The 15,185-nt window shown below is 45.7% G+C and overlaps 1 protein-coding gene across 1 annotated transcript in view; it reads right to left on the reverse strand.

Annotated features, from left to right (window-relative positions):
* The window catches only part of MYO5B (myosin VB), a 372,359-nt gene that overhangs the window by 336,776 nt on the left and 20,398 nt on the right, over positions 1 to 15,185 (reverse strand). The window lies entirely within an intron of this gene.

The raw sequence follows: 15,185 nt of genomic DNA on the forward strand, positions 1-15,185 counted from the left end.
TCTCATGCTCACAGTGGCTTTCTCTGCCCACATCATGTCAAATCCCAAATCCTCCCCCACAGACTTGTCTCCCAACTGTCCCAAAAGGAATCTTCTATTCTAAGAAAAAGTCCCTTTGCCATCCCGCACCTCCAGGCCTCTATGATGCCCCACGCCGCCAGCAACCAGCTCCCCTCTCTCCCAGTGTTTGTTACTCAAGGTCTTCACGTTCCACTGTTTAGTCTCCTCCTGCATCCTCCCCAGCACCCCCACGCCACTGATATCATGCTGCACATTCCGTGTGGCACTGCCTGTGCTGCTGCTGCCCTATCCAAGACTGAGCTTCAGATGGCAGGAACCCTGCTGCCCAACCCTCACCCTCCCTTGCAGAACAGGCACAGGCACACAGACGCTCCACATGAACAACGTAGCAACACTGGATCCTGGAGAGTCACAAGTTGGACAGTACTCACGCAGACGTGATGGCATGGCCAGGGGTGCAAATGGCTCCCCTCTGTCCATGGGACCACATGCTAACACGCACAACGTACCACAGTCAACACTTCCCAGCGGATGATAAAACACCAAGCAAGAATATCCACCGTAAGCATGGAAGCAGAAACAACGGGGCTGCCCGGGTGCACCTATGACCCTAACGTAGGGTCAGTGAGGGTAGCTGCTCTCTCGAAAACTCTATGTGGGTGGCTTTTCTTAATGTTCTGCTGTCATCTGCAGAGGGCAAGGCTGTGGAGCAGACTCTCTAAGGTCAGAGGCCACAGCTGGAGGATCTCAGTATTGAAAGGAGCCTTACAGATGGATCTTGGGTAAAACCCAGTTCTCTATCAGATGATGGAAAGCAGAGGTTCCCTGACTCGGGGGTTCTGTGGACCAGTTAATATTTACTTAATTTCAGAGACTATCAGCAACATTCTCCACAAGAACAGACATTTTAACTGCCCCCCAAAGTAAGGACTTCAGAAAAGGACAGTCCTCCAGCCGACTGTGTTCCTGGGGACAAGCCACAGAGCTGGCACACATTCCCCATGAAAGGTCAGGTAGCCATATGTGAACACCTCCAGCAATGAGAGGGTCGGGGGGTGGCTTGGGGGGCCACTCTGGGTCACCTGAAACTTGTGTCTTCAGATTGAGCTAGAATCCATCTCCCTGAAACTTTCACCCACTCATCCTAGTTGTGACCGCTGTGAGAGTAGACACAATCCTAGGGCCTAGCCCAAAGGAAATCCTCAGCACATATCAACTCCCCTAGTCCCTCCACTCTCGATTCCCTACACAGTTCAGAACTGTGTGGAGACTGCATTCCTGTCCAACACCCACCCCTCAGCCACCAGCAGCCCATTCTGAGCTCATTCTCTCCTCAGAAAAGCCCTGAAACACTGCGGCCATTCTCCCACGTTAATTTCCCAACTCCCGCCCTGTCCTGGGCTCTCAAGGCCACCCTCAGCTTGTGTCCTCCTTGTAGTACAGGGCTCAGTATTGGGGGCTGGACACAAAGCTCAAAGTTGCAGTTGTCCCTTGTGGAGCTCACAACCTGGCTTAGAAAAAGAGATTAACTCACATTAAACAATGAAGGACAATTCAGGAGCCCACGGCAGGCAGATCACCTGAGGTCAGGAGTTTGAGACCAGCCTGGTCAACATGGTGAATCTCCACCTCTGCTAAAAATACCAAAATTAGCCGGGCATGGTGGCACATGCCTGTAATCCCAGCTACTCAGGAGGCTGAGGCATGAGAATCACTTGAACTTGGGAGGTGGAGGTTGCAGTGAACCAAGATAGTGCCACTGCACTCCAGTCTGGACAACAGGGCGAGACTGTCTCAAAAACAAACAAAACACACAAAACCATGAAGGACCGCTCCCCTCTAAGGGAGTGGGGGGACTATACCTAAACACCAAATTGTGACTAGACCCCAGACACTGAAGGAATTTAGAGGAAATGGGCAGAAAGGACTAGGGTTTCGGGGCGGGGTGGGGGGGCACAGGAGTCACTGCTCTTACCACATTCTCTCTTCCCCTGAAATATCAGAAGACAACATGCAGCCCGACCCTGCTAGCTACAGCCACTACCTCCGTCTCCCTCAGACCCTGAAGCAGAAGGATCAGTGACCCTTAGAAAGCATCCTCCAAGACAATCAGGTTCTAGACAGAGTCCCCACTATGGGGCAACCAGGAAACATGGACAAGAGTCCCAGGTTCCTGAACACTGCAAAACACAACTCTAAGGCAGGAGCCCCTCCCTGCTGCCCTGAAGCAAAGTCAGGGACTGTGACAGCCAAAGCAAAGGCAGAGGGAGAAAGCTGCTAGGGGAAAAACAGCATGAGTTTTTGAGAATTCAAAGATGCCCCATTCAGGAAGCTGGGGAGGCTGAGGAACCTAGCCAAAGGCAGGGCCACCAGCTTTTTGCTAAACTGGTTTGGCATCCACTTTTTTGTTCATGGAAGTGGTTACATAGGTACCTGCGTGCAACGCAGATGGCCAACAGCCACTCCCTCAGTAGTGGTATTTCCCAGAAGGCAGGGAAGAGGTCTGTCTTGCAAGATGAGGTCACTACATTCTCCAATTCCCCTGTGCTCCAATCTTAAAGAAAAAGCTATTTCTCAAACTGTTCTGCATGGCCCAAACTCAGTCTTCAAATGGGGTTCTAAAATGTATTTCTGCATATCAACATTCTCCAACAGCAATATAGTGTGAGGAAAGTAGCCTTCAGAATCCTGAACCATCCCTCCCTCCCTCCCTACCCACAAGCAAATTCCTGCCAAGTGCTAGCATATTTTCAAAACATCATTACCACTCCTGATAGGAATCCCGGCGCCCAGTTTTTGATACCAAAAGTTAAGGGAAGCAGTAAAACATCTAATTTGTTGAAAAATTTGGAAGGACTGTGCTGATCTACCAGCAAGTTCAGCCTCCTGATAGACAACTCTTTTCTTCAAAGAGCGTATTTTCCATGAGATTGCCAACGATGCTTGGTCACAGCCTCCTGTAACTGATGAGGGGAGAGAACACCAGAATGTTGGCTCATCAGGACATCTTTGGCATATTCCAAAAGCAAACTGGGCGGCCCTGAGCCCTCGACCACATCACATTATCCACTAATGCACATTTCTTCACAGTGCTGGCACTGAGGCACATCAGATATGATCATCAACTGTTTACACAGAATCCACTGCCTCTAAGTGCTGCACTGTGCCAACCTTTCTGAGGCAGCACCATCTGCAACCCAGAGGTCAGCACAGTACTGCCCAAAAAGATCAGGCAACAAATCTTTCAGCTACACAGCACCTCACAGCTGATGCCTCCCCATCCCGTCCATTCCAGCCCTGTCACAGCGGCATCTCCCTCCCACATTCCAAGCTACTCGGAGCCACACCTATCAGCTAAGCAAAGTGTCCTTGATGGAGACCTCCTTTTACAAACTGGTTGAGGCAGTCATGTTTTACATTTCAATGATTTTTGTTTGTGTTCATGCAACTGTAGCTAATAACAAAAATGACTTCGTGAAGTATAGTACTATCAGCAGATCTTCTGAAATGAATTGCTACCAAGGTTGCCAGCTTTCCAAGACACAAGATGATTCATGACCTCATGTAGACAGACCTCCAGTGAATGCAAAGCCCAACCAAGCCTGCTAATATTTTTTCCTTTTTCCTCCCCATACTGCCACCTCATCACTCTCCAAAAGGGAAAAAGTCATGCACACGAATTAATCCACCCTGACATACAGAACTTGCAGTGGGGAGAGAGCTCGGCTCGTTCATGTCAGGGTGGTACCCTCCACTCTCCCAGGAGAGGGGCAAACAAGGGCACCATTCATGTTCCAGTTTTCCCCTCCATCACCACATCAGCCCAGCCCTGCAGATTTCATAAGCAATGGCTTTTTACTTTTTCTACCTGTCACGTTAAGGAAGAAGGGAAACCCCTGGCTGCAGCTCTGGGCAGAAACAGCATGAATCTCCTGGGGCACACAATCTTAGTTTCTCCTCCTATCTTATTTCAATACCATGAGGCCCCACCAGCAGCCCAGGTGCTGGATACTGTGGGAAATTTTCTGCAGTGCATTCCTGATAGCGTCCATGAGCAACTTCCCTAACAAAGGTAGTCTCTGGGCCAGAGTCTCCTAAAAACAAGTTGGGCAGAAACAGCTTCATTCAGCAGAGACCAGCTGCTTCTCACAAACCAGACTTGTTCAAGCTGCACCAGGACCCCATGGAGCTGGCCCCTCCCATGCCTGCCTGGACTCCAGGTGATTATTTTGCTGGCAGTAACAAAAGAGGAGAAAGCACAATCATTATGCAAATGTTAATTTGCTCTGAGATCCCAAATGACAGTTCAGGTGACTTCAAACATCCCATCCATGTCTAAATCCTAATAAACTTCATGTTTTAGCCATTAGGTAGGAATGTAATTCTATTTAAAAGAAAAATATCAAAAATTGTTCAAGTTATCAGAGGTACAACATTACAGGCAAAGAATATTTCAAGGGAATTAAGTGTCTCTTTTCTGCATAACATAAGGTGGTTTTTAGTGCTGGTTTTAGACAAGGTAGCTATCCTGATGCAGGAGTCAAAGACTACAGAAGCTCCCCACACGAACCTCTTAACTTACATCATCAGGAGACTCGCTACTCCAACTTTGGGCGCCTTTCGCATTATTGTTTGTACTTTAGTGATCTTTATGTAGTAGTGACTCAGGTCTCATTTCCACTCTATTTCAGGCCTCCTTAAGTATATGCCTTGTTATGGGTGGCCTTCTCTTCAAATAGAGCAAGCCATCCCAACCTGTCTAATGACATTATTTTGTCAAAGCTGCTAATCCATCTACCAGTTATCCATGAGATAGAGTCTACTGAGAAAGACACACACCAACACAGCGTAACTGACATCTGTGACCATCCCCCCACTTTACAGAACTTCTGTTTAAGGGAAATGCCCCCTTGATAAGGTATTCACATACATTATTTGGAATCTGTGACTCAATGTCTCCCTGGAATTAAATCCATTTAATTAAAAAGAAATTTTCAAATTGTGATTTTTTTTTAATCAAGTGTCAGGATACATGTGCAAGATGTGTAGGTTTGCTACATAGGTAAATGTGTGTCATGGTGGTTTGCTGCACCTATCAATCCATCATGTAGGTATTAAGCCCTGCATACATTAGCTATTTGTCCTGATGCTCTCCCTCTTGCCACCCCTCCAACAGGCCCCAGTGTGTGTTGTTCCCCTCCCTGTGTCAGTATGTTCTCATTGTTCTCTGATGCTTCTTAAAAATTGGGTTTCTATCATAAGAGTAAAATAGAAAATGTCCCTTCTTGGAGCTGAAGTTGAGTTAAGAAATCTCAAGACTGGGAGTGTATTCAGTGTTGACACATTATCACCCTCAACAGATCACTTTGTGGAGGTCCCACCAACGCTCTTCTTTCTGGAGGAGTTCGCAGCTTATTTGGTATCTGGCAGGGCTTTGGAGCATCTATATATGCTGGGCACAGGCCCCTCACTGCAGCTGGGGGAAAATCAACAGAGAATCAAGGGTTGACCTGCAGGTTTACAAGTCTGGAAAGTTAACTAGTCATCAACTCAGGGGAGAGATGCATCTACCAGAATGCCACTGATTAACACTTTTAAAATAACCTGGGCCAGGCACAGTGGCTGGCTCATGCCTGTAATCAATCCCAGGACTCTGGGTGGCTGAGGCAGGAGGATCACTTGAGTCCAGGAGTTTGAGAACAGCCTGGGCAACATGGCAAAACCCCATCTTTACCAAAAATAGGAAAACTAGCCAGGCACGGTGGCAGATGCCTATGGTCCCAGCTATCTGGGCTCAGGTGGGAGAATCACTTGAGTCCAGGTAGCTGAGACTTCAGTGAGCCATGATTGTGCCACTGCATTCCAGCCTGGGCAACAGCATAAGACTGTGTTTCAAAAAATAAAGAAAGGCCAGGCACAGTGGCTCACGCGTGTAATCCCATGACTTTGGGAGGCCAAGGCAGGCGGATCACTTAAGGTCACGAGTTCAAGACCAGTCTGGCCAATATGATGAAACCCCATCTCTACTAAAAATACAAAAATTCTCAGGGCATGGTGACGTGCACCTGTAATCCCAGCTACTCAGGAGGCTGAAGGAGGAGAATCACTAGAACCCAGGAAGCAGAGGTTGCAGTGAGCTGAGATCGTGGCATTGCACTCCAGCCTGGGTGCGACAGAGCCAGACTCCGTCTGAAAGAAAAAAAGGAAGGAAGGAAGGAAGGAAGGAAGAAAAGAAGGAGAGAAAGAGAGAAAGAAAGATAAGATAACCTGACTGGAAAACCAGGGCTAGATTTTCCTTCCCCAGGATCACATTCACTCAGTATCAAGATTTGTGTCAAAAAAGGTATTAGAGAGTTCTAGTTACAAGGCTGTTAGAGGCCTCTCTTCCACCTCAAGGTTTGGATGGTTTGCCCACAGTCAAGCATGCTCCCACCAAAGTGACAGGCAACTCATACAAAACCTTGTTCCTGTCCTCCTTTTTCAGCAACCAGAAAAGTCATCACCTTATGCCAGGTACACTCCAGCACCATTGAGCAGGCGGGGGTTCTCTGTATTAGTTAGTACGCCCTTCATATCAAGCCCTCAGGACTTGCCTGCCACACATTTTATGAGCAATTCCTCAGGGTGAGTTCACCTAACTGATGGGTAATTGCACCCATTATACAAGCACTAAGGTAAACTCATCCTAACCTTGTCCCCAGATTCTATCTGAAACCTTAAGCATTCTGTGCCCTGAATACTGGTAACAGCAGCCCAAATTATTTTTGGGTATGGCCATGCTTAGTTTTTTAGTTAAACCTCAGAAAAGATAGACATAAGCAAGCAAATTTGCTAACTCTTCTGTTTAAACATCAGGTTTACAAAACATCCATCATCCCAATAACACACAGCTAAGCTGGTACATCTCAATTCTAGGCTATTATAGTAGACCTTAAAGCTATTACAGTTGACCTTAAAGCATTATCTTTAATTTACTGGGACTTTTTCATTTTAAAAACCACAAGCTCATTGAAAAAGTAAAATTTAAGCTGCATAGTACACAAAATAAAAAGTAAAATATTCCTCCTTAGCCACTCCCCACCCCCCGCCTACCAAAAGAAACCATTTATCAGTTTGAAGTTTTGATTTCATAAGATTCCTCATCAGGAAATTAGGTTGAGTCAAAGGTCTTATATGGAAAATACCACTGAGAGGAACACAATGCATGATTGAGAAGAAGGGGGAATTACAACTACTTTTCCCAGCTATAAGACCTACAGCATTTCCACCTTTAGTGTAACCAAGTATATAACATTTTACTTTATGAAGATCACAATCTTGGATATCAATTTTTACTGCATTTGGAAAGAACTGCCAATCTTGAATGCACATACTGAATCAATGGTTTCAATCTTTTAGGTGAATATAAAAGACGCCTGGAAAGTCTTTAAAGAGAGACTCCCCTGGAAAGGATATTAAAGATCTAAACGAGTTAACTGAATTCCCTAAGCATCTTTTCAGCAACTGCCCCTCTGGCAAGCAAGCCACCGCTGGGAAAAGGCTATAGTACACTGTCTGAACAAAGACAAAAGAATCTTACATCTTTCCTTAGGAAAATCCTTGCTGTATATTGCAGAAGGCTCCTTCTACTTCTGCCTACTAGTGTAAATTCACAACTTGAAAACTCAAAGGATATTACTGAGCACTCCCTATGTATGAAGCAATGTGCTGGGTGCTTTCACAAGCCTCACTGTATGTCTCCAAGTACTTTAAGGCATAAGACTTTCTATTACTGACCCCAAATAAGAAGGCTTAAGTTTCATAAGTGACAGGTATAAAGGACCGACATTTGTTTCTATTCATCCCCACTCCATTCCACATTCTGATCCATATTATGCAACCTGCCACTTCAATGTAGATAGGATTGATCAACTGTCCCAACCTCTAGAAACTCAATTTATAAACAGATGAAAAATAAGTTATAAAAGACAAATTGCTCTAAAAATCAGAACTGGCTGACTCCATGAAAGGTCATGGACATGCTTTCTCTCCCAGCTATTTGTCCTCTAACCCAAACCCTGCTGGCTGTTTAGGATCTGGTTTAAGGCCCATCTCCCTCCAAGAAGCCCTCTCCCCCTGCTTCCATAGCTTCCCCAGCTGAGAAAGGCAATGATCCATAGGCAAGAGATTATCTCCTATGCCTAGGGCTCCTTTCATCCATTTCTTTAAAGCAATATATAAACCTGAATGTTCAAGTCCCCAAAATAAATCAAGCCAAGCCCATCTGCCCTCTGGCCCCACGGGTAAGGCAAAAACACTTTCCTATCATTTGTAGAAACCTATGTATTCACCATAAAGGCCACTGCTGCCCTGGGGGCTGACAGTCTAGGTTAAAAAAACAACTCAGAAATAAAATCAACCATTAGACAAAGTTGTTAAATTTCACATAGGGCAGGTTCTATGATATTTATATTGCACTTATATGAAGTACCACATGGGGCCTTGGCTGATTTTTGTTAATTCTGAATTATTCAGCACTGCATTGATAGATTGCTAATTAAAATATAACCCCTAAGGCACCAACCCTGCTAAGAATGGTGCTCTTGGCTTCATCACTCCCTCTAACAGCATCCGAGTCAAACCTCCTCATTTGCCTCCCTCCCGTCACTGCCAAAGCACAGCAAGGCCTTCAACCTCACAAGTCAACTTGTTCCACAGCTAAGGGAGTAAAGTGGAAAATCTGGCAACATGGTGATTTACTGAGAGTCCTTTGAGAGGCCTGCAGTTCCAGAAGACTCAGGAAAGATAGTTCTGACACCTGGCATTCTAGAAAACAGGCTGTCTCTTCCATGAATATGCCTGGATTCTCTTTGTCTCTCATGTCAAAGAGGAGTGGAACAGCTGCCCCTGTCAGGGGGCCCTTTTCCAAGGCTCCTGCTTGCTGCAGTCCCCAGGATAAGCTGGGGCTTCCCCACTCCCTGCTCCTCAGAGACATTGGTACCATCCAGGACAGATGTGCTCCAGACAGAGGGGAGGGTCTCCAGGACCCTCCCCACTAGACCCCCACCACTGTTCCAACCCTGTGTGAATCTCAGACACCACGACCCCTAACCAGGTCTTGGTCAATCACCCTCCTCACTTTCTTGTTTTGGTCTTAAGTGTCCAAAACACTCAGACTTTAATTTTTTAGTAATTTTTTAAAAGATGACATATATGGAAAAGTATAGAAATCCTAAAGAACAGCTCAATGAACTTTCATAAATTCACATATCTGTGTAAGCAGCATTCAGATCGGAAGTTACATTATCAGCATCCCAGAAGCCCCATGCCTGTGCCCACTTCTAGCCAGAAATGTGTTTTCCATCAGAAATGTATTATTTCGATCCTCCAAGCAACTATCACTTCTGAGTGATCTGTCCCCATAAAGTCAGAGAGAGAAGGGCGAAAAAGCTATATAGGGGGCTTGGCATAGTGGCTCACTCCTGTAATCACAGCACTTTGGGAGGCCAAGGTGGAGGACTGCTTGAGCCCAAGAATTGAGACCATCCTGGGCAGCATAGGGAGGCCCCATGCCTACAAAAAATAAAACTAAAAAAAAGCTAGATGTGGCAGCACATGCCTGTGGTCCCTGCTATTCAAGAGGCTGAGGCAGGAGGATCCCTTGAGCCCAAGAGGCTGCAGTGAGCGATAATGATGCCAGTATACTCCAGCCTGGGCAAAGAGCAAGACCTTGTCTCAAAAAAGAAAAGCTACATAGGAAATGCAGGGGAGGGTAATGAGTCAGCATTTAATCAAGTCCCTCCTGAGGACCAGGTAACATGACAGGTAGAGAAACCTGGCATACACCATCTTAAGCAAGTGATCAAAGTTACCACCACCAGTAACAGGACAAATTAGACATAACATGCCACCGCATGGGTTGCAATCATCATCACAGTATCCAGAGAAAAAGACATGGCCCAAGTGGAGAGCCTCTCTACAGTGACTGGCTGTAATCTACACAAACTGTCCAGGCCATGAAAGTCAAGGAAATACTGAGGAAACGTTCCAGATTGGAAGAGACTAGAGAGAGATGACAAGTGGGTGTGATGTATAACCCTGGATTGGTACCGTTATCATAAAGGGTATTACTGAGTCAATGGACAAAACTTTAAACCCAATTCAAGGTATATGAGTGTGCCTTGAATTACTCTTGCAATTTTCCTGAAGTCTGAAAAGATTTCAAAACACAGTATTTTAAAGAAATTTTTGCTCTTCACCTTTCCACTTGCTTTCCACCTAGAATACAGATGTGAGGATCAAGTCCCATGATGAGCAAGGTTAGCAGGACAATGAGATAGGAGCCGTGGACCTGCCACACGGGCCCCAGACTGCCCACCTCCAAAAATACTGTAGTATGGAATAAAATAAACTCTTTGATTGTCGATGTCATGGTAGTAGGGTTTTCTGTTACAGCCAAAGAAGTCATAACTGATACATTTAATAGGTAGAAGACAGAAGACTATGATTCCATTACTATTTCCCCACTATTGCTAATAGGAAAACCCACCAAAAAGTTAACAGAAAAGCTGTGACTTGCTGCATGGACAAGAGGGCAGAGAAGCTGTGAGAATGCATTTTGTCCAGCAGTGGGCAGTGAGGAAAGGAGGCTTGGCCGGAAGCATCAGTAGCAGGGCCTCCAGGATCTCTGTAGCACCGCAGCATCGCAATGAGTCAAAGCAGGTTTTCAAGTTTTCCATCAGAAATGTACTATTTCGATAATACATTTTGACTTTTGACTAGACCACCACAAGAACACCGCCTCTATGAGAAAGATCCTAGATGCTAGACTTAAGGTAACCTTTAGAATATTACCTACAAATAAACGGGGACTTTGATAAATAACTATTCATGTATAATTTGACTTTAGAAATCATTCTATATTTTATTTTCTAATCACATTTTTATTACCATGATACCTCATGTTGGGCCAATATGCTTTCCTCTTTAAAGTTTCATTTTACCACTATTTTGCTTTCTTCTCACTCCGAACAGTACTGTGGGGTGACTCCAGTTGTTTCCATTTAACACATAAGAAAAAGTTGAGCAAGATTAAGCCACTGGTCCAAGGTCTCACAGCAAGGAACTGGCATAAATGGAACAAGAATTCTGAACCATGACTCCCAATCCAGTGTTCTCCTAATCCACATAGTATATCGTTAACAACACTGCCAGTTCAACATGGCTTCACTTTTTGAGATTAGAAGATTATATTATGAATGACTAGAACAAGAGATCAAGTAAGAGTAAACAGGAAAAGAGACATTTTACCCAAACTTAGAAGAAAGAACGTACAGGAAATTCAGCACTCAATCTTTCTCTACTTGCTCACATTGGTTTCAGAAGTGAAGAGCTGCAAAATCCCGTTACCCCGTGGTGAACCCACACCTGCCTCCCTGAGGCTCTCTCTCCTTGCAGCTAGCATCCCCTCAGCTAGTATTTGCCAGGCCCTCAAAATCCTACAGAAATCCCAGAATCTTGGGATACTTGGCCGCCAGTCTCATGCAGCCCTGTTCCTCAAATCTGGAAGTCCTGAATGCCTGTTCCATAAGACAGTGCTGGGCACTTGGCACGATCTTCACCCTCACAGATAAGTTGAGGAGATAAGGCAAATATGCAAAAAGTAAAGTAATCATCCAAGAGATATTAAATAACACTGCAGGCCAACGACAGCAGCAGAGGCATGAGAGGAGATGCCAAGACCATGTAATGGATGGACACGATTTACAGTAATTGCCTCTGTACAGAGAATAGAGTTCCTTAGGCTGAAGAAGTCAGGAAGGGCTTATAGAGAAGCTGCAATTTGACCTTGGTCTCGAGAGAGACCATAAACTTAGAAATATAAAGGTACAGAACATTCCAGGCAGATACAGCATGGATATGGAAAACTCAAGGTACATTCAGACGATTATGAGTGGGCTGATTCTGCTGGGGAAACAGTGGATCATACAAGGCAATAATTAAATGATAGATGATCAGTTACTATGCTCTGGATATAAGGGAGGCTTCAACCTGGCTTGAACAGAAGGGCATTTCTATCTCATGTGACAAGAAGTCCAGAGTTCTGGTGGGTTCTGCAGTGTTGTTTCAGCCCAAGTCACATGGCTGCATAGAGGAGGGGTTTTGTCAAGATGTTGAAATGGAGTTGTGGATGATCCCAGACAGGCAACCATAAATGGTTATTGTTTAGTGAGTGTCAATCCCCACCCCATGTATTTCACCCTTAAAACCAGAGGAAAGAATACAGAGAGAAAGCCAGAAGAGGCTCCTCATATAACAGCCAAATCCAAAACTCAATTCAGAAAAATCTGCAGCAATGGATCTTCTTCCTTGTGCCTATTTACTAAAAGACATATATGAATTCTTAAGAGGATTAAACCAGAATGGCTGTTCAGAGTCTGTGGAATCAGCAAAGACCCTCATTCTAACCACCCCTGGAGGCCTCATGTTCATTAGGGCAGAACTCCATGAGTTTGAGACAAGCCTGCACAACAAGGCAAGACCCCATCTCTACAAAAACTTTAAAAATTAGCCAGGCATGGTGGCACACAACTGTAGTCCCAACTACTTGGGAGGCTGAAGGGGAAGGATCACTTGAGCCCAGAAGGTCGAGGCTGCCGTGAGCCATGATCACGCCATTGCACTCCAGCCTAGGTGATAGAGTGAGACCCTGACAAAAAAAGACAAAAAAAAAAAAAAAAAAAGGCCGAACTGTGCTAGCACATTAGTGAGTGCAAAGAGATTGGCCAGACTGTTTTTTCTCTTATACGATGGCCCAGATAAGAAAGTACACTGATATCCAGAACTAGAGAATCGGATTCCCAGTGTATTCCTGATACCACAAGGTCCTACCACTGTGAGTTTTGTTATACATGGAATTGGCCAAGCCCAGTATTCAAGCAAGACTCTCATGCAGTGGGTGGATGACTCTCCCTCAATGATACTGAAAGATCTGTAAAATGATTCAGACAAGTCTGCCAAATGCAGCATTACCCTATAAAGTGAAACTATGGTGATGTCACTCATTTATTTTAAATATGTTTACCAAGCACCTTCTATGTGCTACATGTATCCTAGGCACTGGAGACTCCGCAGTGAACAGGACAAGTGCTGCTCTCCTCTCAAGGACCTCAGGATCCAGGTGAGGAAGACAAGCAAACAAGAGAGCCAGCTATGAGAGGAGAAAAACAAAATAGGGCAATGATCTGAGTAGGTGGTGGAGAAGCCCTCCCAGAGGAGGTGACTTGGCAGAGGTCTGAATGACAGGAAGCCCCCCAGTGCAAAGACTGGGAAAGAACATCTATGAACTAGGAGTAGGTGCAAAGGCACTGAGGTGGCCAGACACCTGCACTGTTCAGTGAACAAAGAAGCCAGTGTGGGCCAGGCGCAGTGGCTCACACCTGTAATCTCAGCACTTTGGGAGGCTGAGGTGGGTGAATCACCTGAGGTCAGGAGTTCAAGACCAGCCTGGCCAACACGGCGAACCCCGTCGCTACTAAAAACACAAAAAAATTAGCTGGGCATGGTGGCACAAGCCTGTAATCCCAGCTACTTGGGAGGCTGATGTAGGAGAATCACTTGAACCTGGGAGGTGGAGGTTGCAGTGAGCCAAGATCACACCACTGCACTCCAGCCTGGGCAACAGAGCAAGACTCCAAAAACAAAAAACAGAAGAAAAAAAAAAAAAAGAGGAGGCCAGTGCGGATGGATGCAGCAGGTAAGGAAGACAGGGATGCTAATGGGGCAGGATAGCAGGGCCCAGATTACAGGAGGCCTCATGGGCCTGGTAAGGGGTTTGGATTTTATTCCAAAAGCCAAGGGAAGCATCTACGTGATTTCCAAAAGAGGAGTGACAGAGCCCAACTGACGTTACATTGATCTGGCTGCTGCACAGAGAACAGACTGGAAGGAGACAAGGGAAGATGAAGGGAGTCAGTTGGAAAACAGTTTCCATTATGCGGGCCAGAGATCGTGGTGGCTGGAGGTCAGAGCAGTGAGGGGGCAAGAAGAGCGAGGATTCAAGTAACGTTTGGAAGCTGAGCCAACAGGACTTGCTGATGGAGTGGGGAAATCACAGATGATGCCTGGATCTGGGTCTTAGGCTGCTGGATCATGCCTCTTACTGGGATGGTGAGAGCTGGGGGGAGAAACAGGAATAGCAACATACAAGCTTGTTTCTAAGCATCTTTTACTGTGAGGCAGCAACTTTAGAAAAGGCATACACTTTCAGACTGAACCATTTCACTTCCTGTAATGGGTCAGCATGATGGCAAATGTTGTGTGTCAAACTGACTGAGCCAAAGGATGTCCAGATACCTGGTAAAACATTCTTTCTGGGTGTGTCTGCGAGGGCGTTTCTGGAAGAGATTGGCATTGGAATCAGACTGAGTACAGAAGGTCTGCCCTCACCTATATGGGTAGGCCATCACCCAATCCATTAAGGGCCCAAATAGAACAAAACGACAGAAGGAGGGCAAATTCTCTCAAGTTGGGACATTGATCTTCTCCTGCCTGTGGACATGGGAGCCCTCAGACTCTGGTACTTACATCAGTGACCCCACTCCCAGTACCAAATCTGTATTAGTGTTCTGCAGACAAACAGAATAGGATAAAGATACATAAAAGGAGGTTTATTATGAAAACTGGCTCATGTGGAACTTAATTCCTTTGGAGACAAACAAGCTACTGAGCCTCCAGGAAAATACACACAGCGAGTATCACAGGGGATGGTGCACTCTCACTCCCATCAGCCCCCATCAGCCCCTAGCTCCTGAGAAGGTACAGCACCAACACCAGGATGTCATGTGCTAGAACCCTGACATCAGGGATGGAAGCCCTGCATTCCAGTCCTATTTTGCATCGTGAGTTTGAGTATGTTGCTGAACAGCTCAGGGTCTCCATTCCCTCTTTGTCCTCCCTACCTCAGAGGGCTCTTGTGACAAGAAAAGGACAACTAAATGGGAGAACATCATGGAAAACAAAGTATACACCAATATAAGACGACACTGCTGTTAAGAAGAGACTCCTGATGTTTTCTGAAGGGGAAAAGCAGAAGCCAGCCATCGTGAGTTCCTTCAAGGCCACCTCTCCTTTCCCACATGGCCAGAATTAGGGGGTAGCAGTGGTGTGGTAATATACAGGTACTG

The sequence above is a fragment of the Homo sapiens genome, chromosome 18 (assembly GCF_000001405.40).
Source record: "Homo sapiens chromosome 18, GRCh38.p14 Primary Assembly".
Classification (NCBI taxonomy): domain Eukaryota; kingdom Metazoa; phylum Chordata; class Mammalia; order Primates; family Hominidae; genus Homo; species Homo sapiens.